Here is a 23,916-nt window from a genome sequence, read left to right as displayed (position 1 = left end):
ACCTTATCTCTATGAAAAAAAACTCTTCAAAAACTAAAAACTTTAGGCTGGGCATGGTGGCTTACACCTGTAATCCCAGCACTTTGGGAGGCCGAGGCGGGCCGATCACGAGGTCAAGAGATGGAGACCATCCTGACCAACGTGGTAAAACCCCGTCTCTACTAAAAATACAAAAATTAGCTGGGCATGGTGGCGCACACCCGTAGTCCCAGCTGCTCGGGAGGCTGAGGCAGCAGAATCGCTTGAACCCGGGAGGCAGAGGCTGCAGTGAGCCGAGATCGCACCACTGCACTCCCGCCTGGTGACAGAGCAAGACTCCATCTCAAAAAAAAAAAAAAAAAAAAAACTAAAAAATTTAGCCAACCGTGGTGGCACACACCTGTACTCCCAGCTACTCAGGAGGCTGAGGCAGGAGGATCACGAGCCCAGGAGGTCAAGGCTGCAGTGAGCTATGTTCACACCACTGCACTCCAGCCTAGGTGACACAGCAACATCCTGTCTCAAAAATTAAATTAAAATTTTAAAATTACAAAAACAATAGCCCAACCAAATGTAATTTTTTTTTAAGAGACAAAGTCTTGCTCTGTCACCCAGGCTGGAATGCAGTGGCGTGATCATAGTTCACTACAGCCTTGAACATGTGGGCTCGAGCGATCCTCCCACCTCAGCCTCCTGAATAACTAGGACTACATGTACACACCACCATGCACAGCTTATTTTTACATTTTTTGTAGAGACAAAATGTCACTATGATGCCCAGGCTGGTCTCAACTCCTGGCTTCTGGCAATCCTCCCATCTTGGCTTCGCAAAGTGCTGAGATTACAGGAGTGAACCACTGTGCCCAACCCCAATCAAATGTAATTCAACTATAACAGGAAGCACCATTTGATCTCATTTCTTAAAAAATGTAGGAATAGAATATATTCAAAAATAAAATACTTACTCTCTTGTCTGGACTGGAGTCGATGGCTTTTCAGTTTTCTTTTCTTGTTCCAGTGAAGAACTATTGAACATAAATAACAATATCTTTAATAAATTATTAATTTATATCTTCCCAATTCTATCTGTAGGCAAGAAGAAAATTATTCTAACTTCTAATTTTTAATGATATATCACAGCATTTCGTTAATGACAGTACAATCCAACAATCAACTTTTCAGTCAAAAGCTTGTCATCACATACAAATAATTTGTTAGGTCCTAAGTAAAGAATACTTTTTTTTTTTTTTTTTAATACAACAACAGGGTCTTGCTGTGTCAGACTGAAGTGCAGTGCTGTGATCTCAGCTCCATGTAACCTCTACTTCTTGAGCTCAAGCAATCCTCCCACCTCAGCCTCCCACGTAGCTGGGACTACAGGTGCATGCCACCACACCAGGCTAATTTTTGTCTTTTAATTTTTTGTAGAGACGAGGTCTCACCATATCGCCCAGGCTGGTCTCAAACTCCTGGGATCATGCAATCCTCCCACCTTAGCTTCCCAAAACACTGAGATTACAGGCATGAGCCACCACGCCCAACAGAGAATGTTCTTATCCTCTAACTTCTCAGTGAAAGGAGGCTCCCAATCCCAAGGCATGAAGCAGCTTACTTAGGTGACTTGTCTCCAACTCCTGGATGTTAAACAACTCAAAACCTAGGTTTCTGGCCCTTTCTTCAACAGGGCCAAAGACCTGGTGAATCTGAAAAAGGGCTATGCTGAGGAACTGTCCCAACTCCTACCTCTACCTGCTAAACCATCAACAATACAACAATGAGATTTATTATAAACCTGCCTCAGAAACCCCAGGCTAACTTTAATAAAGAAGCTTTGTTCTTGGAGGATTTATTAATCACACTACTACTGTCTTTATTAGAAGGCAGGGCATAAAACTTGGATCACTCCTTTAGATCAGTTTATAGTATGTTAAAAATAGAAATTCCAATCCTTTCAAACATTTTTTTTTTAAATGAGACAGAGTCTCGCTGTCTCCCAGGCTGGAGTGCAGTGGTGCAATCTTGGCTCACTGCTGCCTTGAACTCCCAGGCTCAAGTGATCCTCCCACCTCAGCCTCCTGTGCGCCACAATGCCCAGGTAATTTTTGTATTTTTTGTAGAGATGGGGTCTCACTACATTGCCCAGGCTGGTCTCAAACTCCTGGGCTCAAGCAATTCTCTCGCCTTGGCCTCCTAAAATGCTGTGATTACAGGGATGAGCCACCTCGCCTGGCCAAAATTGCAATCTTGATTACAGAAAAGTGGCTTAGTTGGTTTCACTATGCCTTGGTAACTAATATAACAAAGAAAAAACATTTTTTTTTTTGAGACAGGATCTCGCTCTGTCACCCTGAGTGCACCCAGAATGCAGTGGCATGAACATGGTTCACTGCAGCCTCAAATGCCAGGGTTCAAGCAGTCCTCCTGCCTCAGCCTCCCAAATAGCTGGAACTACAGGCACATGCCACCATGCCTGGCTAATTTTTGTACTTTTTGTAGAGACAGGGTTTCACCATGTTGCCCGGGCTGGTCTCAAACTCCTGGACTCAGGCGGCCCACACACCTTGGTCTCCTAAAGTGCTGGGATTACAGGCATGAGCCACTGTGCCCAGCCAGGAAATTTATTTTTAATCTCAGAAATAAAGGGCATAATCTACCATCCCCAGAAAGCAGTTACTTGAAATACTGCTACTTTTTGTTATGAAATTCTATTTAAAAGGACATATGTGTTCCAAATTTTGTCAACATGTTTTTGGAAAACTAAAAAATTTACTATAAAAGTGCTATTTATATAACTACATACCCAAATAAAGTAAAACAGAAGGCCAGGTGCAGTGGCTCACGCCTGTAATCTCAGCACTTTGGAAAGCCGAAGCGGGTGGATCACCCGAGGTAAGGAGTTTAAAACCAGGCAAGCCAACATGGCGAAACCCAGTCTCTACTAAAAATACAAAAATTAGCCGGGTGTGGTGGCGAGCATCTGTAATCCCAGCTACCCGCGAATCTGAGGCAGGAGAATCGCTTGAACCTGGGAGGCAGAGGTTGCAGTGAGCCAAGATTGCACCACTGCACTCCAGCCCGGGTGACAGAGCGAGACTCCACCTCCAAAAAAAAAAAAAAAAAAAAAGAGATAGTAAAGCAGAAATAAATTTTACTTACGTCATTGGATTATTATCTGGTAGATAATATATGAAGTCTCTCATAGTCATTTTTGAACGATCTGGTGGCCTCTGACTTTCATTTATAGCATATTTGTTTTTCCATTGTTTCTGTATACATAAACACACAGATCCACTTTTATAAATATTAAAGAATTTCAGATGTACTATATGCAAATATACAGTCCACTGTTGCGTTCACTGTAAGTGCTTTAATATTATTCTCACCCCAATTATGTAATTTTGTAGATGGAATATTAAAAAGTTGTAGCACATTACCCTCAATAGCTTTTAGTTTTTATTTATCTACTTTTGAGATGGGGTTTTGCTCTGTCATCCAGGCTAAAGTGCAGTGGCGCAATCATAGCTCACTGCAGCCTTGAACTCCTGAGCTCAAGCAGTCCTCCCACCTCAGCCTCCCAAGTAGCTGGGACTACAGATGCTTGCCTAACACCTGGCTAATTTTGTGGGGTTTTTTTTTTTTTGGTAGAGATGGAGTCTCCCTACGTTGCCAAGGCTGCTCTCAAATTCCTGGGCTCAAGTGATCCTCCTGCCTCACACTCCTAAAGCACTGGAGTGAACCACACACCCAGGCAGTATTTAGATTTTAACAATTAAAGTGACTAGGACTAGATAAAAGCTCAATGTGGCCAGGCACAGTGGCTTATTTCTCTAATCCCAGCACTTTGGGAGGCTGAGGCAGGAGGATCGCTTGAGCTCAGGAGTTACCAGCCTGGGCAACATAAATGAGACCCTATCTCTACAAAAAAATACAAAAAAATTAGCTGGATGTGGTGGCATATGCCTATAGCCACAGCTACTTGGGAGGCTGAGGTGGGAGGATCACTTGAGCCTGGGAGGTTGAGGCTGCAGTGAACTGCAATTATACTAGCGCACTCCATCCTGGGTGACAGTGAGACCTTGTCTCAAAACTAAATAAATAACCAAAGAATAAAACTAATAAAGCTCAATGTATAAAATGCTTACTGATGCCTTCTAACTAAACATCTTAATAGCTCACTGAGAATTTATGCTTACACAGCTTTTTTTTTACCCTGTAGTGACTTGAAATTCTGTGTATTTTGTAAAATTCTTGAAGCAAATGTTTAATCTTTAATTCCCCAAAATAAATTAAATAAGCAAATAAGCAGTTTCTGTAAAATACAGAACTTTTTTTTAATCCCCCCACCCCCAATTCCCAACCCATAAAACATTTTTAGAGGCTTTGATCTGTCGCCCAGGCTGGAATGCAGTAGCACAATTTCAGCTCACTGCAACCTCCGCCTTCCAGGTTCAAGCAATTGTTGTGAGGCTTACATTTTAGAAGACATAAATTGAAAGCTTGTTTTCTCCTGTGTGAAACAGTGATATCTACTTCACATAGTTGATATAATTACATAAGATAACAGATATAAAGCACCAAGCAAAATGCCTTCCCTTAATTTAAAAAAAACTAAGAGGCATTTTATAATTCATAACAGAAGCTGACACTGGTTGGACACTTACTATTTTCATGACACTAGTTTTTTTGTTTGGTTGGTTTTTTTTGAGACGGAGTCTCGCTCTGTCACTCATGCTGGAGTGCAATGGCACGATTTTGGCTCACCGCAACCTCTGCCTCCCAGGTTCAAGCGATTCTCCTGTCTCAGCCTCCTGAGTAGCTGGGATTACAGGCGTGCACCACCACAACCAGATAATGTTTGTATTTTTAGTAGAGACGGGGTTTCACCATGTTGGCCAGGCTGGTCTCGAACTCCTGACCTCAGGTGATCCGCCCACCTCGGCCTCCCAAAGTGCTGGGATTACAGGCGTGAGCCACTGCACAAGGCCCAAGACACCAGTTTAAGTGTGTTTTACATGTATTGACTCATTTAATCTTCACAACCCTCTAATGAGCTAGATAGAGGTTGAGCATCTCTTATCTGAAATACTTGAGACCAGAAATGATTCACATTTTGGATTTTTTCACATTTTTGAATACTTGCAGAATACATGCTGGCTGAGCATCTCTAACCTGAAAATTTGAAATCCAATATGCTCCAATGAGCATTTCCCTGGAGCATCACTTTGGCACTCAAAACATTTTAGACTTTGGAGCATTTTCAATTTCAGGGATGCTCAACCTGAACTATTATTGGTCTATTTTACAGATGAGGAAATAGATTAATTAAATTACCCAAGGTCACAAAGCTAGTAAAGAAATGAAGCTGAGATTCAATCCCTAAGTATTTAACTCCAGGGCCAGCATGCTCTACTGCTGTTACCTGCCCTTCTAGAAAAGAAATCAATCCTCAAGATTAAAAAGAACATGGACTCTAATATATGCATAACACAAATTTTTCCCACTTGTAATTTTCCATAGTCAATTTAGAAAACATTACCAATTCATTCTGCTCAACTATATTCGTCTTTTTTTTGGAGACAGTTTCACTCTATCACCCAGGCTGGAATGCAGAGGCACAATCTCGGCTCACTGCAACTTCCACCTCCCAGGTTCAAGCAATTCTCATGCCTCAGCCTCCCCAGTAGTTGGGATTACAGATGCACGTCACCAGGCCCAGCTAATTTTTGTATTTTTAGTAGAGACAGGGTTTTGCCATGTTGGCCAGGCTGGTCTTGAACTCCTGACCTCAAGTGATCTGCCCCCCTAGTCCTCCCAAAGTGCTGGGATTACAGGCATGAGCCACCACGCCCGGCCTATACTTGTCTTAATTCAAATAAATATATCACTTATCACTTGGACATCTTTATGTGAAAAATCAGACTGAAGGTTTATTTTATAAATATGTTTGTGTATGTGCATCTATGTGTATGCGTATGAAACTTATTTGTGGTCTTCACCAAAAACAGTGAAAACATAAATAAATAATGTAAAAATTACTATCAGTGAAAAATGTAATTTAAGTCCACGGTGTATCAATCAATCCATTAACAAGAAGGGATGTTCTATTGACTAAGGGATGTTATGTGGTTTTGTTCCCCCATCAAAATGCTACAAATGCTTTTCTTCCCAATGATTCCTTACTAACATAAATAGAAGGCAACATCAAAATCCTGATTCTCCTCCCTTACCTTCTCTTTTCTCAATTCTTCTTTTAACATTTCCCTCAGTTTCTGGGCTTTGTATATTCGGTATCTGTCTGAGCATGGCTGTTTCTCTTTTGTTGAAGTGGCAGTTGGCTGTGGAGCCTCTTGATTAATTGTAGATAAGGGATGAGATTCTGAAGGAACACTGACACTAGACTTAACCAGGCTAGAAGTACTTGATATTCGCTTTCTTCTCTGTGAAACAGTAGAGGAAGATCTACTGGATTCTTCAACATCATTGTCACCACCAGTCTTTTCAGTACTGTTGAAATTAAAAAAGAAAAAAGAGGGCACATGAATCTTCTGTTACACATGCTAGTTTTAAAACCTAGTCTGGTGAAAATCCAAAACTGCAATCTCGTAATTAAAAAAAAAAAATTAGTAACTTGAGATTTATGATAATTATGACAGGTTACAAAAAAATTTGTTTAGTAAATCTTTTAAATATACGTAAATTCTAATAGACTCTTAATCTTTTTCAAACATAAAGTCCCTAGGCACATTACAGCACATAATTATAGGCTTACCCCCCTCAAAACAAATAACCAACTTACAGAACAAAGCTTAGTCAACCTAATTTGAATTACTAAGTAACAAAGTAATAATTTATAATTAATTTCTATATAAAATTTAAAAAAATTTTAATTCACTCTGACATTTTAAACTGGTCTAAACTACCGGCATTTTACTTTACTTATCAACCCGAGGTCAGTCAAATCAAATATGCAAAACTCCAAACCTCTGAAATATCTGTATTGCAGTATTTGAAGAAAAACATTTAGTTACAGTAGCCAAACCCAATTCCCTTTGAGGCAGAAATCATTTATCTTTTGTCAGGTACAACTCTACTTATACAGCCATCAGAATAAACTTCAGTCAAAAAAAGTACTCAGTCACCCCAAATTGCATATTAGGTATGGTATACCTCAGATATAAGTATTTCAGGAATGGTCTATAAATGCAACTTAAGTCAAGAAAAGAGGTGGTATAAGTCAATAATTAAAAACAGTCTACTTTTTTCCTATTTTATAATTACTTATAAAAAATTAGAAAATGCCTTAACTTATAGAATAACCTTTCCAGGAAGACTTCAATTTAAATTCGTATCTTAGCTGTTATGGATACATGCATTATCTGCATTTCACCCAATTATGTTGAATGCATAATGACAGAATATATATCCTATAGAGTTTTACAACTAGCAAAGACCCACAAAAAAATAAAAAGAGGCTGGGCACGGTGGCTCACACCTGTAACCCCAGCACTTTGGGCTGAGGCAGGTGGATCACTTGAGGTCAGGAGTTCGAGTCCAGCCTGGCCAACATGGTGAAACCCTGTCTCTACTGAAAATACAAAAATTAGTTGGGCGTGGTGGGGCACGCCTGTAGTCCCAGATACTTGGGAGCCTGAGACAGGAGAATTGCAAGAACCCGGGAGGTGGAGGTTGCAGTGAGCCGTACCACTGCACTTCAGCCTGGGCGACAGAGCAAGACTCCATCTAAAAAAAAAACTAATTAAAAAAAAAAAAAAAAACCACTTTCCCAGAGTCAGTAATGGCAAAAAAAGTGACTAAAAAACAAATTATATTCCCCAAACGTAAATGTCAACTCAAAAAAAAAAATTAAATATCCTTGACCATAAATATCTCAAAACTACAATCTTTGGGCAATTTATTAAATTATCAACCATCACGCACTCACACATAATTAACGAAATCTCTGAGAACTTTATTAATGTAACAGCGACTAGTATCGGTATCTCCTTTCTGTGTAGAAATTTTGAAACAGATTCATGTAATAAACTTGGAAATTACTAACCATCACTGAACTATCAACGTAACACCATACACTCAGCACCAGTTCAGGCCAATAGAGGAAGATGTTCCAAAAATAAATAAATGTTTCACCTTCCTATCACAGCATAAACAGAATTTGTACTATCTCACTTCACTTAACAAGGCTGTTTACTGATTTCCTCATATATATAGAAACAGAGACCATCTTAGCCTAACATGTCTTAAATTTACTCCATCACCTTTCTAAAAAACTAGTAACTTTTTGCGGGCAACTATTCTGCTATATCCCCTGCAAGGTAGTTAATATGAATTATCTCCAATCTGCACCAAAACGCTCCAAGTAGGCAATATTATTCCCATTTTGCAGATGAGCAAATTCTGCCTGAGAAAAGTTTACCTGTAGACTAAAAGAGTCCTGAATCCAAATATGATACATGACGCTAAAGCCATGCTTCTCTATTCAGGAAACACGGTCACCATAGTTAAAGAGGCACACTTCAATTAAGTGACCAGAACTCTTACTCACTGACATAAATCGGTAAAGCCAAAGCAATACTTATCTTCTCCTTTAAAAAATAAATATTTTATAAATTGAAAGACAAAAACACTTCCCTGCAAAGCACTCCAGAAGGATGAAAACTATAGTGACCTAAATTCTCAAATGAATAGTGTGGATATTCTTCACTTCAGGACTGCCATACCCCGATTCTCCCTACCACCACTTGAAGACATGGTCTCCTCTCGGAGAATCTATAGACCGTGACAAAATCCACACAAGCCACACCCTGCAGGTCAGACAACTAAACTGCAGTTTGGAGTGGTTTCATCAAGCCTCAACTGAAAGGCTTACTGCAAACGAGAGCGGACTCCTGTGATAAAATTCATTTGCTCAGCTTCCAGGTGACATGCCCGGAGAGGCGGGACAAATGAAAATTCTTCCCTCTGCAACCTCTTACCTGCTCCTAGGAGCCTTTTCTTGGGGCTCCGCTCCACCGAAATCGACTGTGGGCACATCTGTGGGCTCCGCGGGCTTGGAAGCAGAGTCCGTGGCAGGATCCGGCGGCCTGGGAGACTCCCGTCCACGCTGGGGATTGGAAGCTGTGGAGCCCCTGGCGCCTACACCAGGCCTGACATTCGGCTTCACGCTAAGGCGTGCCCTGCGGAACATGGCGGAGGCAGGGGGCCCGGGGAGGCAGCCTCACGGCCGCTCACAGCCCCGAGCCCCGGCGGCTGCCCGGAAAGGGGATTAGGAACTACGCCCTCCCCACAAAGCCACACCACCAGCTCAGGGGGCAGCTACCGTAGTTTCACTGCCCCGCCGCCGCCTCCTCCTCTCTCCCGCCGCCGCCGCTTTTTCATGACCCTGCCACACACCGATGGCTAAATTTCACCCTCCTCCCAGCATCCCCGCGCTCACAGGACGCCGCAACTGATTGCGCCATCAGCCAGCGCCGCAGAATGACGTCAGACGCACAGCACTGGGAGCCATGGTAACTACCAAGCTACTGAGACTGGGTTACCTGCGGACCAGAAATTGAGATGCAGAGATATTTGCTCTTTCTTCTCCAGGAGTCCTTAGGAGTAGTTGAAAAGAGGAACAGAAGAAAGTCCACTTCTCTGCTCAAACCTTTACTGGAACTATTAAAATCGCTGGCCGATTTTGTCTTTTGAAGATCCTGAAGGGTTTAGAAATTCTAAATTGAGTAGACATAGATTAAAAATGCTGGTGTGAAGAAACTGATAATAGTTACCTCCCAGGAGAGGAATGTGTTTCTGGAAAACACGTCGTGGTAGGAAGACCATTTACCGTACGCCTTTGTGTACTTTTTTGTTTTTGTCCTTTGAGACAGGGTCTTGCTCTGTCGCCTAGGCTGGAGTGTGCAGTTGCGCGATCTTGGCTCACTGCAGCCTCCACCTCTCGGGCTCAGGCGATCCTCCCGTCACAGCCTCCCAAGTTGCTGGGACCACAGGCACGCGCCACGACACCCGGCTAATTTTTTTTTTCTCGTATATTTAGTAGAGACGGGGTTCATCATGTTGCTTAGGCTGATCTTGAACTCCTAGGCTCAAGCGAGCCACCCATTTGGCCTCCCAAAGTGCTGGGATTACAGACGTGAGCCACCACGCCCAACCTCCTTGTGTACTTTTTAATATGAATGTATCACCCGAGATCGTACCACTACACTCCAGCCTGTTTAAAAATTATTATAGTTGAAACCTTGTAAATTATTGTGAGTGTTCTTAATCTGCTTCAGGAGGTAGCAGTAAACAAGACGTTCTGGATTTGGGAGGAGAAAATACAAAAAAGAAATGAACAAGATATTTTTAAAATGTATCAGGCCCGGCGTGGGTGCCTCATGCCTGTAATCCCAGCATTTTAGGAGGCTAAGGCAAGGCAGATTGCTTGAGGTCAGGAGTTCGAGACCAGCCTGGCCAACATGGTTAAACTCCATCTCTACTAAAAATACAAAAATGAGCCAGGCCTGGTGGTGCAAGCCTGTAATCCCAGCTATGGGAGGCTGAGACAGGAGAATGGCTTGAACCCTGGAGGTGGAGGCTGCCGGGAGCCAAGATGGCACCACTGCACTCTAGCCTAGGCAACAGAATGAGTGAGACTCTGTCTTAAAATAAATGAATTAATTAATTAATTGCAATAAAATAAAGTATATCAAATGTCATGAAATAAATTTAAGGGTTGAATGCCGGGTATGGCGAGGCACGCCTATAATCCCAGCTACTGTGGAGACTGAAGTGGGAGGATCTCTTGAGCCCAAGACTTCCAGACCAACCTGCTCAAAATATTGAGACCCCTAAAACAAATTACCTACATGCGGTGGCTGTGATGGCTCCCACCTCTAGCTCCAGCTACCTGGAAGGCTGAGGCAGGAGGTCCAGGCTGCAGTGAGCTATGATAGTGCCACTGCCCTCCAGCATGGGTGACAAAGTGAAACCTTGTCCTTAAAACAAAAATTTAATAATAAGAAGAAAAAAAAGAGAGAAATGTACAGGATGATGTGATAGAAAGTAATGGGAGGGAGGCTGGCAGTAGAGTGGCTAGGGAAGTCCTCTATGATGAGAGGAAAAATAGCCAGAGCTGAGGTTGGCCTTGGAGGTATTGGGCCAATGTTTGAACCAGTGATACAAATCCCCTGACTCATGGGAACACAAAGGCCTGACTTTCTTCTTAGAAGGAAAAGAAAATCCTACAAGAATATGGTGATACATTAATAACAAAAGGTCAAAGGAATAAAATTCTGAACTGACTGAAGAAATTGATCACCTAAAGGGAGAACAAAAAAGAGGCAAGTGCTTTTGAGAGTAGGAAGGCAAGACTGAAAGCAGAGAAGAGAAAACATATATCTCTAAGACTATGAAGAAAATGAAGGTCTGGAGGCCAGGCACAGCTCGTGCCTGTAATCCCAGCACTTTGGGAGGTTGAGGCAGGCGAATCACTTGAGCCTAGGAGTTTAAGACCAGCCTAGCCAACATGGTGAAACCTCATCTCTACCAAAATTACAAAAATTAGCTGAGCATGGTGGCTTCTGCCTGTAATCCCAGCTACTCAGGAGGCTGAGGTTGGAGGATTGCTTGAGCCCAGGAGGCGGAAGTTGCAGTGAGCCAAGATCACACCACAGCACTACAGCCTGGGTGACAAAGTGAGACCCTGTCTCAAAAAAAAAAAAAAAAAGAGAGAGAGAAAGAAAGGAAGGAAGGAAGGAAGAGAAAAGAGGAGGTCTGTGGATTCCGTGGGCTCCCTGCAATACTCTGGAAAAGGAACAGTATCTCAGTTTTATCTTCTTTATTTAAAGAAGCTCAAGAATTCGAGAGAATACCCTGCTAAAGATGTCTCAGGAATCTTGGAGCCACTGCCAGGTCTACACAGCTTTGAACAGCATATTCTGATACCAACTGAAGACACAGGGCCTTTCCCCAGATGGTCTTCTGTTCCACTTAAGAGACTAGGGCATTGTCCCAAGTTTTTACAGGTCAGAAAGTAAATAGTGACTAAGATTTAATTTCCCACCAGTAAAGGGATGGGAACAGAATCAGATTAAATTTTATTATTAAATATAAAGTCATAAGACATTTGTTACACAAGTTTGTGGAGTAAATTCTTAGTGGCATCATACGAATTTTTTAAATCTCTACTTTTCTCTGAGAGACACACACAACACATTTTGTGTACATGGGGTATATCATGTGTAGCCCTACAACTTAAGAACTGCAAAATTTCAGCTGCAAAGAAAAATGTTCAATTAGATTAAATTGAGAGCACGTACAAAAACAACTCTGCTACTCACCGGCCGGGCGCGGTGGCTTGCGCCAGTAATCCCAGCACTTTGGGAGGCCGAGACAGGCGGATCATGAAGTCAGGAGATCGAGACCATCCTGGCTAACACGGTGAAACCTCATCTCTACGAAAAAAAATACAAAAAACTAGCTGGGCGTGGTGGCGGGTACCTGTAGTCCCAGCTACTTGGGAGGCTGAGGCAGGAGAATGGCGTGAACCCAGGAGGCAGAGCTTGCAGTGAGCTGAGATCGCACCACTGCACTCCAGCCTGGACGACATAGGGAGACTCCGTCTAAAAAACAAAACAAAACAAACAAAAAAACTCTACCACTTACCTTCCAATCCCACCCCATTCCCTCTTTAGATGACCTTATCTCTATAAAGAACTGTGCCAGAGGTTGGAATGGTTGAAATCTCATGCTTGAAATCCCAGCACTTTGGGAGGCCGAGGCAGACAGATCACACGAGGCCAGGAGTTCAAGATCAGCCAGGCCAACAAGGCAAAAAACCGTCTCTACGAAAAATACAAAAATTAGCCGGGGCAGGGTGGCAGCCGCCTGTAATCCCAGCTACTGGGAGACTGAGGCACAAGAATCGCTTGAACCTGGGAGGCTGAGGCTGCAGTGTGCGGAGATTGCGCCAGTGTACTCCAGTCTGGGCAACAGAGTTAGATACTGTCTCCAAAACAAAACACGGTGCCAGAAAGTCAATCTTTTCCCTTCAAGTTACTTCACTAAGTGGAAGCAGAGGCTAGCAGTATTAAGGAAGAGAGGTGGGGTGTGGGGATAGGATAGTGATGTGTGCGAGGCTCTCTGAATTTGAAAGAATAATGACAGTAAGAGCTAACATATTGAGTTCTACCATATGCTGGGGACCTAGTACTTCACATACGTTAATTCAGTTAATGAAGAAGGTACATACCTCCCCATTTTACAGGTAAGAACGCTTTAACATAATGAAATACTGTCCAAGTTGACACAGCTACTAATTAGTAGAGATGGACTTTCAACCCAGACAGTTCATCTCCAGAGCTCCTCAGTCTTCACTTTCTCCACCTTCTCTAAAATAGACGATTTTATGAGGTAATAATTGAAGTTTGGTCGCATCTCCTTGAGGATTCGTTATCCTTGTTACTAATGCTTTTGTACTGTATAAATTTCAGATCTTCCAAAATAAAAGTTTTTAAAATATAGGGCAATGTGGGGTATCCAAATCATCTCAGTTTGTAACAATGTTATCGTTTTGTTTTTATTTTTATTTATTTATTTTTTTTGAGATAGAGTCTCACTCTGTCGCCCAGGCTGGAGTGCAGTGGCGCGATCTCGGTTCACTGCAAGCTCCGCCTCCCGGGTTCACACCATTCTCCTGCCTCACTCATCCTCCCCAGCAGCTGGGACTACAGGCGCCGGCCACCACGCCCAGCTAATTTTTTGTATTTTTGTATTTTTTTTTTTTTTTTAGCAGAGGCAGGGTTTCACCGTGTTAGCAAGGATGGTCTCGATCTCCTGACCTCGTGATCCACCCGCCTCGGTCTCCCAAAGTGCTGGGATTACAGGCGTGAGCCACCGCGCCCGGCCTCTTTTTGTTTTTATTCTTTTGTGTGTGTGTGTGTGTGTGTGTGTGTGTGTGTGTGTGTGTGTGTGTGTGTGTATAACAATGAAAGAGATGAAGTAATTATACGCTACATGAGCCACAGAAGCATCTCTACACGTGTTTCTACCAATGGCAGATGGTCCACAGCTTTTACTAGGTTCCGAGGTTATTCTGGGCTATTCTGAATTGTGGTTAAGACTGCACTCCCTGCCATTCTCTCCCCACCGAACAACCTAAGCACAGTCAGTAGCCTAAAACTCCTGAAGCACTGTGGATCGTGACAAGGGCACTGGAATAAACTGGAAAATAAATATGCTTTAGAGTCCGTCTTAAATTTTATTCTCATATCAATTCCTACGCAGTTAAGTCTGTCTCTTATGCAAAATGAAAACAATGAAGCCTAACTTGCAGAGTTGTGTTTAGAATAAGGAAGGAAAATATGTAAAGGACAGTGCCTTTTGCAGTTACCCTCAATCTGTTCAGTCTCCATCCGCCCCTCTCCGCCTCCGCAAGGGGATGAATGAAAGCTAATGTGCTTTGCCAAAAAGTAAGATATTGTAGTGTTTATTGTGATTTCCTATTAAAAAAAAAGTGGGGAGCTGGTGGAGCCCCTGTGCCTGGCGCACAGTGGGGAAAATCCACACACGCCTATCCCTCCGGCAGAACAGAACCCGCTTTCTGGGCTCTCGCTGGGCTCTCCCAGGCGTGTGTAGCAGCAGGGCTCCCGGCGCCGCCAAGTCTCCACGGGCTTCGGTTCTCGTTATAAGAAACGTGTTATAATTATTTTAAAACATTTAAAGAATATTCTTGACCTTAGCAGTTTTTTTATCTACTCCATTTACAATTTCAAATCAATAATTTCTGGCTGATTTTTTAATTACTCGAACTATGAAATCAACACATCCTTGCTATAATGTTATTTATAGTATAAAGTAAGTTGTTTGGGGCACCGAAGGGTGTGAGAAGGGAGAAAACATGTATTTGCAGACAATAATTCCTTCTTAATTGCTTGATTATTTCTGAATTAGGTAGAAAGAACATCACAAATTATTAGTCAAATAGATGTATTTTCATAACTGACTGAAATCCTAGAGATAATATAGTTTAATTTCCTCAAATTTTCCAATGAAATTATTAAATAGAAGCTTTTTAAATGGCTTCGGGTTAGAAAACTACTCACTGCTAGAATTTTGACTATAGTCTAAGTTTTCTGATATCCAGTTTAGCTTTCTTTTTTATCTAAAATTTCATCTTATCTTAAACTCATGAGTATATGTGTGTGAAACCGGAATCAAAAATAAAAATTTCTCTTGAAGGCTGGTGAGTTTAGTCATTCAGCCTCCATGATTTAGACATAAGCAGAAATATGTATAATACATGAGAATCTGTTAGCATTCAGCAAACCTCTGTGTGATAGTATTAGCTTGATGCTGCTGCTGCAAGATCAATTTGTTATTAGTTAGGTGGCTTGTTTATGTATATGTATTTATAGATCCATTTAAAATAATTAACGGTAATTTTTCAAGGTCTGTTCAGATAAACCACCACAAACAGTGGTAGGGAGGTAATAGCTGAATCTACATTGGTATACAGAAGCAAGATTCTATTTGTGTAAGAATCATAAGACTAATATTTGGGAAATATCTTCATATATCCCCAATTTAAATAATAATAGCCAAGATCAGGAAAAGTCTGTAGGAAATCTAAGGGTTGTTATTCCAGTATACATAAATCACAAGTTCCCTGTCAGCTCAGAGTAATTTTTTCTTCAATAAATCATAATCACAATTTACACTGTTTGGAACAAACCTAAGTAAATGAAGAAAGACTGGCTTCTGTTTATATAGCCACTTAAGATCCTTTTTGACAAAAAGATGACTCAGATAAACATATTTATTTGACATAGTGGGGAGCAATAGGACTTATGTAAAAAGGAAGACATTAGGTTTTCCGCTATCGAACACCAAAGGACAATCACTTGCTCTTTTTATTCCTCATCACTAACATATGAGAAAAATACTTATGGTAACCTATTTCACAGGATTCCCGTAAGAATCAAATGAGAGAATAAGTTCTTGGCAAAGTTTAAATGTTGCATTAGTTTGCATTATCATCATTTATTTTATTAAACATCTTGAAAGAGTGTGGTCACAATGCTTCTGTGTAAAGTTATGGATGTGTCTGAGAATTTCAAAGAGCCATATGAAATGATAGGATTCATGTGACTTTTAAGAAACCTGTAGATAAAGCATGAACAAATCAGAGATAAACTTTAGCTCCCTAGTACATTTGAGCTTTGCTGTTACATTATGCCACTTGGAGAACTAGGATAGTAAAAATCATCATAATTTTGGCCTAATATATTTTTATGACTGTTCTTGAGATATTCATTTACTTAGAGTGGAGCTATTTTCTTGTTTTAAAAAAGCAATAATTATTATATTTGAGTGGGAGAGCAAATGAATTGCAGAAGGGATTTTTAAAAATTTGAAATTGAGTAATTTGTGCTAATGGAATTATATATTTGGAAGCTCTGGATGGAATCTATTTTTTAGCCTAAAGTTTTTTTTGTGAATTTTTTTCTGCTAAATCATACATAACTTTTAATAGCAGAACTGTTACAATAGTTTATCAGTTATAAAATGGTTTTTAAAGATGTGAAAATGATTTTTGTTAATCATAAAATCTAGAAAATGTTCCCATTCTGTTGGAAGTAGGGATTTTGATCAGTTTTAACATTTGGGAACTTCCAAATATTTGTTAATTTTATAGTTACAGTAACCTGACTTTTAGTGGTGGGTTTCTTCTGTACTGACTATGCAACATTGGCAAATTTGCTTAACTTCTCAGAGCCCTAACTTAATTAATTAAAAAAATAAAATATTATAATGTCTGCTTAATAGAATTGGACTAAGGGGTTCATGGATAGCTATAGCTGAAGTGCATGCCAGTCACTTACTACATAGCAAGCATGTAATAGACAGTACCTGTTATTTTCATGTGACTACGGTCTCCCCTCACTCCTCCAACAAAATGGTCTTATTTTGCTTTGTTCTTCATGTGTGTAGTTTCACATAAAATCAATTAGTGTTCCAACACAGGTTAAAAAAACTACTGAAGAGTCATCATACTCTCTGTAGAAACCATTCAGGGTTTTGAAAGACCTCTGGATTTTATGAGAACAGAAAGGCTGATTATTTGGAAATGTCATCAGGGCAGTCTCATGGAGTTGGAGTTTCCAGATAGAACCCATCTACTATGGCACAGAGTTTCGTGTGCACCTGTTTTAGTTGGTGATGATGATTGCAGGTTGGCTGGCAGGGTTCAGGAAAATAAGCCGTGTCTTAATGTTTTAATAAGTTTTAAAAATAGTTCACAATTTAAGATCCTCAGAATGGGACTTAGACCAATATGAGAAACGGAGTGCTTTAATTGCATGACCAACTACACATTAGAGCCCTGGAATCTATCCCACTGTTATTTACAAGTATTGTGTTAAAGACTAGTTGGAACCCTCTCAGGAGAAATTAGCAGTTACATTTTCTTATTTTTACAATTTATGCTCAAGGTGCATTTACTTCGATGTAAGCAGCCTCTTTTCTACTATAACACTCTCATGCCAATCTAAAATTGGACAATGGGTTTCCTGCTTTACAGCAGCAAAAATTGTTCTCCCTCTCCTGAAGTGGTTGACTGGGTTTCTTCACATTCGGCTGTCACCCTCCACCAGCTGAGGGAGCAAGAGACCTCTGCATGGGAGGCTACAGCCCCACCTCCTGGGTCTCCTGCAGGGCCGTCTCCGTTTTCAGAGTAGGATGAGTACCTGCCTTAGTAACAGCAATTCAGTTACCCTGAAGTTTTACTTTGTCCAAAAAGTTTCACCAAGAGCTTGTATTTTAATGAGATACTTTAAAAATATATTTGGGAATGTATAAGGCAAACGGATTCTCTATTATTTATACTTAGTGCATTCGCCTACTGAAATTTGAGGGTTTTCTAAGATATATATAAATATCACAATGTAAATATAGCTTCTCGCTCTTCCTCTCTCTCTTTCTCACACACACACGCAAGCACACGCACCCACCCACACACGCACACACACATCAAGGAAATGCCATATGTCCCAAGTGAGGCCCACTGGAAAAAAACAAAAGTGCTGAACATATCACTCAGGATCATTGTGAGAGGACAGTCGTCAGCTTTCTCTCTGGCAATGAGAATTTTCTCACCCTCAAGACATGCAAATTACTTTTTTCATCTGTTCTTTTTATGTTATTTGCATAATTTTCTCCTGCAAAAGTGAGAGCTGTCAAAAATTAACCATTTGGGGCTTTGGCATTCAGTTATGTGACCTTTTCCAGAGAGTTAGATCTCTTCAGGGAACTAGGAACTTGATGAGGAAGTGCTGAGAAGGTGATCAGTGGCAGAAAGAGCGGATGACGGATGGGGACCAGCAGGTTGGTAACGGCACATAACTACGTTTAAAAAGTTGTTAGATATTTTCGATCCTCTCATATGCTTGTTTGTTTTTGTTTTAGTAAATCAGTGTTTCAACAGATAATCAAAGAGATGATTCGGTTAGGTGTAGTGCTGTATTCTCCTACGTTACTCTGGTTAATGGTACAATGCAAACATTTTTTGCAAGTTTAATGCTAATTGAAAATGCCGTTTGGAAAACTACACAAGCAAGGCTGTGTTCATGCCGTGGTTTGAGTGCTTGTGTCTGTAGCAATCTGCCAAATATGCTTATTTAGTATGAATACTTCCTTTTTATAAATTCAGAGAGTTGCACTCTGGAGGGCTGTAATAAACCTTTAAATTCATTTTACTTCGACAAAGGTTGAAGTATGTAGCAGGCGAGCGTCAGGGACAAGTGCAGCTATCTCTTTGATCACATCGCTTTAAACATTTTTCAGCTTTAAGCTTGTCTTACAAGTCAGCTCTATCAGTCTATTAATTGTTTCACTGTACCTAATATCTTACACGAAGGCACCTTGAAAAACAGCAGGAGAAAGCACATTTGTTTAAGTCCTGCGATGGCTAGCACGGCAGCTAATCTCCTTGCAAATTATAATCATAGTTGTAGTTCATCCATTAGGCTGGAAAAGACAAGATTCCCAAGTGGCCTTGGTGCCTTTTCCAGTTCCCGGGAGACCCACCAACCCTCGGCGTGTGTTGCCTGCGCACCCGGAGCGTTCTTGCTAATCAGGTCAATGATTAGCGCCTGGCTCCAGGGACCTGCCAAGAGTGTTAGGGAGCCTCCAAACGGAGCACGCTCACGGAGAATCTCCCGTTCAGAAACATCGCTTAGTCCTCATTTACTCACTGGGAACCTCGGAGGATTTCAGCTGATGTTTTTCTCTCCTTAGACAGTGAGGAGCTCAACATAACAGGGAAAAGGAGCACAGGATGCAGCTACTTAGAGGGTGTTGATTGAAAACTTCGATCTCCCCACCCCATCACGGTTGATTTGACGGATTTCTCACCTCGTTCACAGAGAAAATTTCAATTAAGGTAAGTGCTGCTTTATCCGGGTGACTGCATGGCACTGAATTTCTGCATTGAAAGTTCTAACTGACTAAACTGACATTCTGCACTGCAGCAAGTGACTGTGTCAGGAAAAGCTTAATTTATAAGCAAGTTTCCTGGAGTAAAAACGGCGTTGGAGATAATGATATCTCAGGGCAATTTCTTTTGAAATACATTCATTCTGCCTTGTATCCAGAGAAAATAAAAGGGAACATGAAAAGATAGTTAATTTCTCATTTTACCTTTTTAATAATCTATCTGGAAGGGTTGTGCATTGCCAAGGTAAATTGATTTTGATTGAAGTGATTTGTTGATGTCATATAGTAAAATCTGAGTCTGAAAGCTTCAAAGTTAAATCAGATGGAAAGAAAATTTGCAAATGCGAGTTGAGATTTTGTGCAGCTTTCTACTTTAGCAATATTCCTGAGCTCCCTTTTGGTTTAAGGATTTAGGACTAAATCCCTGAATATTTTAATAGTATCCATTTGGAACTTAAAACTTAAATGTTATAGTTTCTGATGCAAGTATTAAGAAAAATGAAACTAGAAGACTTATTATACCATTCATATAATTTATAGTCCTTATTCAACAGAAGTGGATTTCTTTTATGACATGAATAAAAAAAGAAAGCAAAGGAAAATTAAGTGCTTTCTAAAATGCTTGTTTTTGAAAGAATTCTTCAATAAGAGATTATGTGTTTGTAAAAAAATCTTTTTTATGTTTTATTTCATTTTTATTATTAAGATATAATGAATCGAAGTGAAGCTTACATTTCCTATATCACTTAGGGCAATTATCCAGGTAATTCAGATTAAACCATTCCATATTAATTCTTTTTTACCCATTTTCTTGTAAGCTTGTTAAAAATATCTAGAAAGGTATTGTAAGCAACTTTTTTCCAAAGTTTAATTACCTGAACTTTTTCTTTTCTACCTTACTAAGCGCATACATGCCTGATGGTTTTACTCCATATTATGATAAATTTTTATGTAATTAAGAGTAATTAAATAATTATATCACTATAATTATGTGATCTATTAGTCTGCACTCTAAATACTGAAGAATAGCAATCACTTACCTTGATACTGTATGACATAAAAGTTTTCAAATAATGAAATAAACATTATTTAAAATATCACATATAATACTGAAACAGGTTGATTTTTAACAATTAATTTCTATTGTTAAAGCAAAATGTAAATATCTAGCTGCTTTTGTATAAAGATTTATAATGGTATCTCAAGTGTGCTTTTCAGAGTGAGCACTCGTATTTCCTGAAGTGCTGACTTCCCTTTTCTTCTATGGATCTCTTGAGATGGGACATTTTATAAAGATGTCAGAACACTTTCTAATAATTGGCTATCATTCTGAAATTCTCTGGAGAGCTTTTCAGGCTGATGTCGATGTTACTGCTTCTTCCAGAGGAGTAAACTATTTTCAAGGTTCCCAAAGGCTGATGTGTACTTGGCTACCAGTATGTTTGTAGCTAAAGCCTGAAGACTTTTATCTACTTCTCTTGTTCTGAGACGTCTATCTCTTTTCCCTGGGGAGATGATTTCTCAATAGAATTAAAGATAATTGAGAGAAGAATGTGTTGACTACAGTGATTGTCCCTGGGTCTTTGGCTTCTTTTTTTTTTTTTTTTTAAGCAAACTTGATAAACAGAAAGAGGCAACATTAACCAAACAGGGACACACACTTGCTACTAGCGAACTTGCATGTCGCTGAAAACATCTCTATCCTTGTGCCAACTTCAGAATTGATGGTGGCATCAGACCCAATGAACTTTTTTGTTGGATGTATTGACCACTGAAGTGTCTGACCAGAGTACGTCCATTGAAGGTTGTGTTTACTGTCTAATGAAATATCTATGTTTAAAAATTGAGGGAATTGTAGTTCTCATTCAAAAAACAACAAATCCCCAATACACATGTTTACTTATATAACAAACCACCATATGTACCCCTGAACTTAAAATACAAATTTAATTTAAAAAATTAAAAATGCAATTGCTTAAAGGAGTCTTACCATTGTCATAGTTGTCTGAATTTGCAATATACTGATAAGAGGATGAAGAAAATCTTGGGTTCAACTGAGAATTAGTAACAGTTTATTTTACTTAGCATCTGCCTCCTTAATCTATATTGAATTCCATTTTTCATTTGATTGAGGGTAGTTTATTTCTTCTGTAAGATGGGAAAACATCTCATAGGATAACCTCACTTAGAGTAGGAAGTCTCAAAATTTAAATAAAATAATCTTTTAAAACTTTACAAAACTTGCTTCAAGTTCTTCTATAACTTGCTCCTCAATAAGTAATATGTTCAATAAAAGACACTAGAGATAGGCAGTATCTAATCTAGCTCACATGCTTCCTCAACTCAGATAGCTGAGTTATAAACTTTTTATATATGAATAAATGATAAATATAAAAACATATGAAAGTTGAAATGTTAACATGGATGTTATTTGCCCTCATTTTCCAGAAGGAAAGCTGGAATCTGAGAGAGCATATGTAACTGGGCCAAGGGCACACAGTAATGAACCTATAACTAAAATTCAGATCTGGCTGTGTTTAAAACTCATACACTCTATACCATACCTTTTTGTTACCTCATATATGGTGACTGTTTCCAGCACTTGACATGATACTCATGAATATTGTAAGACTATTTTTAAGATAGTACAGAGTAATCATATTACCTTTAGAACAGGTTAACTCTTGTTTACACAAAATAAATGATTTTGTAAATTCCATCACCACCAGTATTGGAAACCAGCATGTACTTTGTTCTTTTAGTTTCTGAAAGAGGTTAGTGTGCAAGTCTTTGCTTCCAGCTAATTCTGATTACTACTGACAGAAAAAGCACTCTACTGTAAGCAAAGTCTCTACTGAAATTTAGTATTTGTAACATATACATCTTTCCAAGAGAGGTTGACACACTCTCAGGATAAAATAAAATAAAATGTAGAGATATAAATTCAGTGTTAATTGTATTGAAATGCGATTAAAAGGAAGTTAAGGGAACTCAGGTTAATAGTGAAAGATATTCACAATATTAGAAAAGGTAGAGAAACTAACTGTTGGAATTGAATGTTGGAAGTGGACTTCAGAAAAAACAGACTTACATATTCAGCAGCCTATTTGCTATGCTGACTTTACATAAACTTTCCCATATGTCCACAGAGGTTTGGTGTAGCTAATCGTGTTGATATTGTGGTAATATTTTTCAATTAATATTTGATCTAATCCTGTGACAAGAAGGGAGGGATGTTATAAGATTAGAGGTGACCTGGAAAATTTAATATGATTAGCTGTCATATCCAATGATGTGCTAAGATGGTAACTAGAAGTTAGGTTGTATGGTTATAAAATATGATAATTTATTGTGTTCCAACATGTTCCCAAATCTGGAAAGAGATGACGTTGTACCAGATACTGTAAATAACAGGTTCCACAATGACTAGAAATATGTTCAAGGCATATATGTGTATAATCTCCAACAACCAACCAGCGTACTTTCAATTCTCTAGGTTGTTGGAAAATGGTTGGCTTATCCTAATTGTGTATAAGAATAACAGAAAAAACAAAGTATATGTACACATTACCTCCTGTATTACTATTCCAAAAGAATGAATATTATCTATAAAGAACAATATTGTAGAAGAGCTTGTAATGGTAACAGTTCACAATGCATAGGTGTTTCCACCAAGAAAATATGACCATGTGTCTAGGCTCTACTGGCCGCAGTAGATTTGATGAGAAATGAATGTGCCAAGGTCTAAGAGAGCCCTCTCTAGACTGGCCAATGGCCACCATGTGGCCTTCCAGGAGAACCATGCCAATAAAAATGTTCTGTGTGAAATAACAAATATTTGACTTGGTTATCTTAAATTTGAAATACCATGTGGAGCCTCAGCAGTTAGTGGCCAGGAAAAGAAGTTGAGAAACATAGAAAGGACAGTCTGTGGAAATCATGAATAAGCTGCAGTAATGAGGCCAGTAGAAAAGAAAGAAAAGAGGTTAATTGCATTAGGTCAGTAAGAACAGACACATTTTCTAACTTACCCTAATAGCTAAGCGCAAGAAGAAAAGAGTGCTTCTCAGAGGAAGTACTGTGTTATCCTGGGTTGATATCCCGTATCGTATTCCAGGCATACCATGCAGTGGTGAGACTTCCCCATTTTTCACATTCACATTTTTCTCTGTAGTTTTAGTCCTGTTAATCCATTCAAATTGAGCACATCTATTTCCCTTACAAATGAAAATATTACAACTAACTCAGTATCTTACATGTTCATAGTTCTGGTAGACAATGGATAGGGCAGTAATGTTTAGTGGCTGTACGTGTTCTAGGTTCAACTACCTGGTTCAAATCCAGCTGAGGGCATTTTCTAGCTCTGTGGCCTTGGACAAGTCAGTTAAGGTGTCTAAACTTTGTTTTTATGTTATTTAAAATTGAGCCAATCACAGTACCTATCCT

The 23,916-nt window shown here is 39.7% G+C and overlaps 1 protein-coding gene and 2 long non-coding RNA genes across 12 annotated transcripts in view, besides 2 other annotated features; 1 reads left to right on the top strand and 2 right to left on the bottom strand.

Moving 5' to 3' along the window:
* The window catches only part of BDP1 (BDP1 general transcription factor IIIB subunit), a 122,638-nt gene extending 113,227 nt beyond the window's left edge, over positions 1–9,411 (bottom strand). For all 9 annotated transcript variants that reach the window (XM_017009630.2, XM_047417372.1, XM_017009631.2 and 6 more), the window contains exons 1-4: positions 8,973–9,411; positions 6,207–6,483; positions 3,136–3,245; positions 945–1,004 (exon numbers count right to left, since the gene is read on the bottom strand). In XM_017009630.2, coding sequence (XP_016865119.1) covers positions 945–1,004; positions 3,136–3,245; positions 6,207–6,483; positions 8,973–9,184 — 659 coding nt within the window. In that variant the 5' untranslated portion in view covers positions 9,185–9,411. The remainder of the gene's footprint in view (positions 1–944; positions 1,005–3,135; positions 3,246–6,206; positions 6,484–8,972) is intronic.
* Positions 8,624–9,549: an enhancer, noted in NCBI's record as "H3K27ac-H3K4me1 hESC enhancer chr5:70751340-70752265 (GRCh37/hg19 assembly coordinates)". NCBI's record gives its function as "activates a minimal SCP1, AML or CMV promoter by ChIP-STARR-seq in primed H9 embryonic stem cells {active_cell/tissue: H9 hESC(primed)}" and the evidence as "EXISTENCE:reporter gene assay evidence [ECO:0000049][PMID:30033119]".
* Positions 9,550–10,476: an enhancer, noted in NCBI's record as "H3K27ac-H3K4me1 hESC enhancer chr5:70750413-70751339 (GRCh37/hg19 assembly coordinates)". NCBI's record gives its function as "activates a minimal SCP1, AML or CMV promoter by ChIP-STARR-seq in primed H9 embryonic stem cells {active_cell/tissue: H9 hESC(primed)}" and the evidence as "EXISTENCE:reporter gene assay evidence [ECO:0000049][PMID:30033119]".
* The window catches only part of LINC02197 (long intergenic non-protein coding RNA 2197), a 125,726-nt gene continuing 120,115 nt past the window's right edge, over positions 18,306–23,916 (top strand). The window contains exons 1-2 of one of the 2 annotated variants that reach the window (NR_134269.1): positions 18,306–18,360; positions 19,273–19,417. This is a non-coding gene — a long non-coding RNA (long intergenic non-protein coding RNA 2197). Of the gene's footprint in view, positions 18,361–18,725; positions 19,113–19,272; positions 19,418–23,916 lie in introns of those variants that run through there. The other variant, NR_134268.1, reaches the window with a different exon arrangement.
* On the bottom strand, positions 18,477–19,479 carry LOC107987420 (uncharacterized). Its single transcript, XR_007058809.1, has 2 exons — positions 19,390–19,479; positions 18,477–19,002 (listed from the first exon to the last, which is right to left on the bottom strand). It is a non-coding gene; the product is annotated as an uncharacterized LOC107987420 (long non-coding RNA).

Source organism: Homo sapiens, chromosome 5, assembly GCF_000001405.40.
Source record: "Homo sapiens chromosome 5, GRCh38.p14 Primary Assembly".
Lineage (NCBI taxonomy): Eukaryota > Metazoa > Chordata > Mammalia > Primates > Hominidae > Homo > Homo sapiens.
The sequence above is the reverse complement of the archived record's forward strand: the minus strand, read 5'-3'. Positions and strand labels throughout refer to the sequence as shown.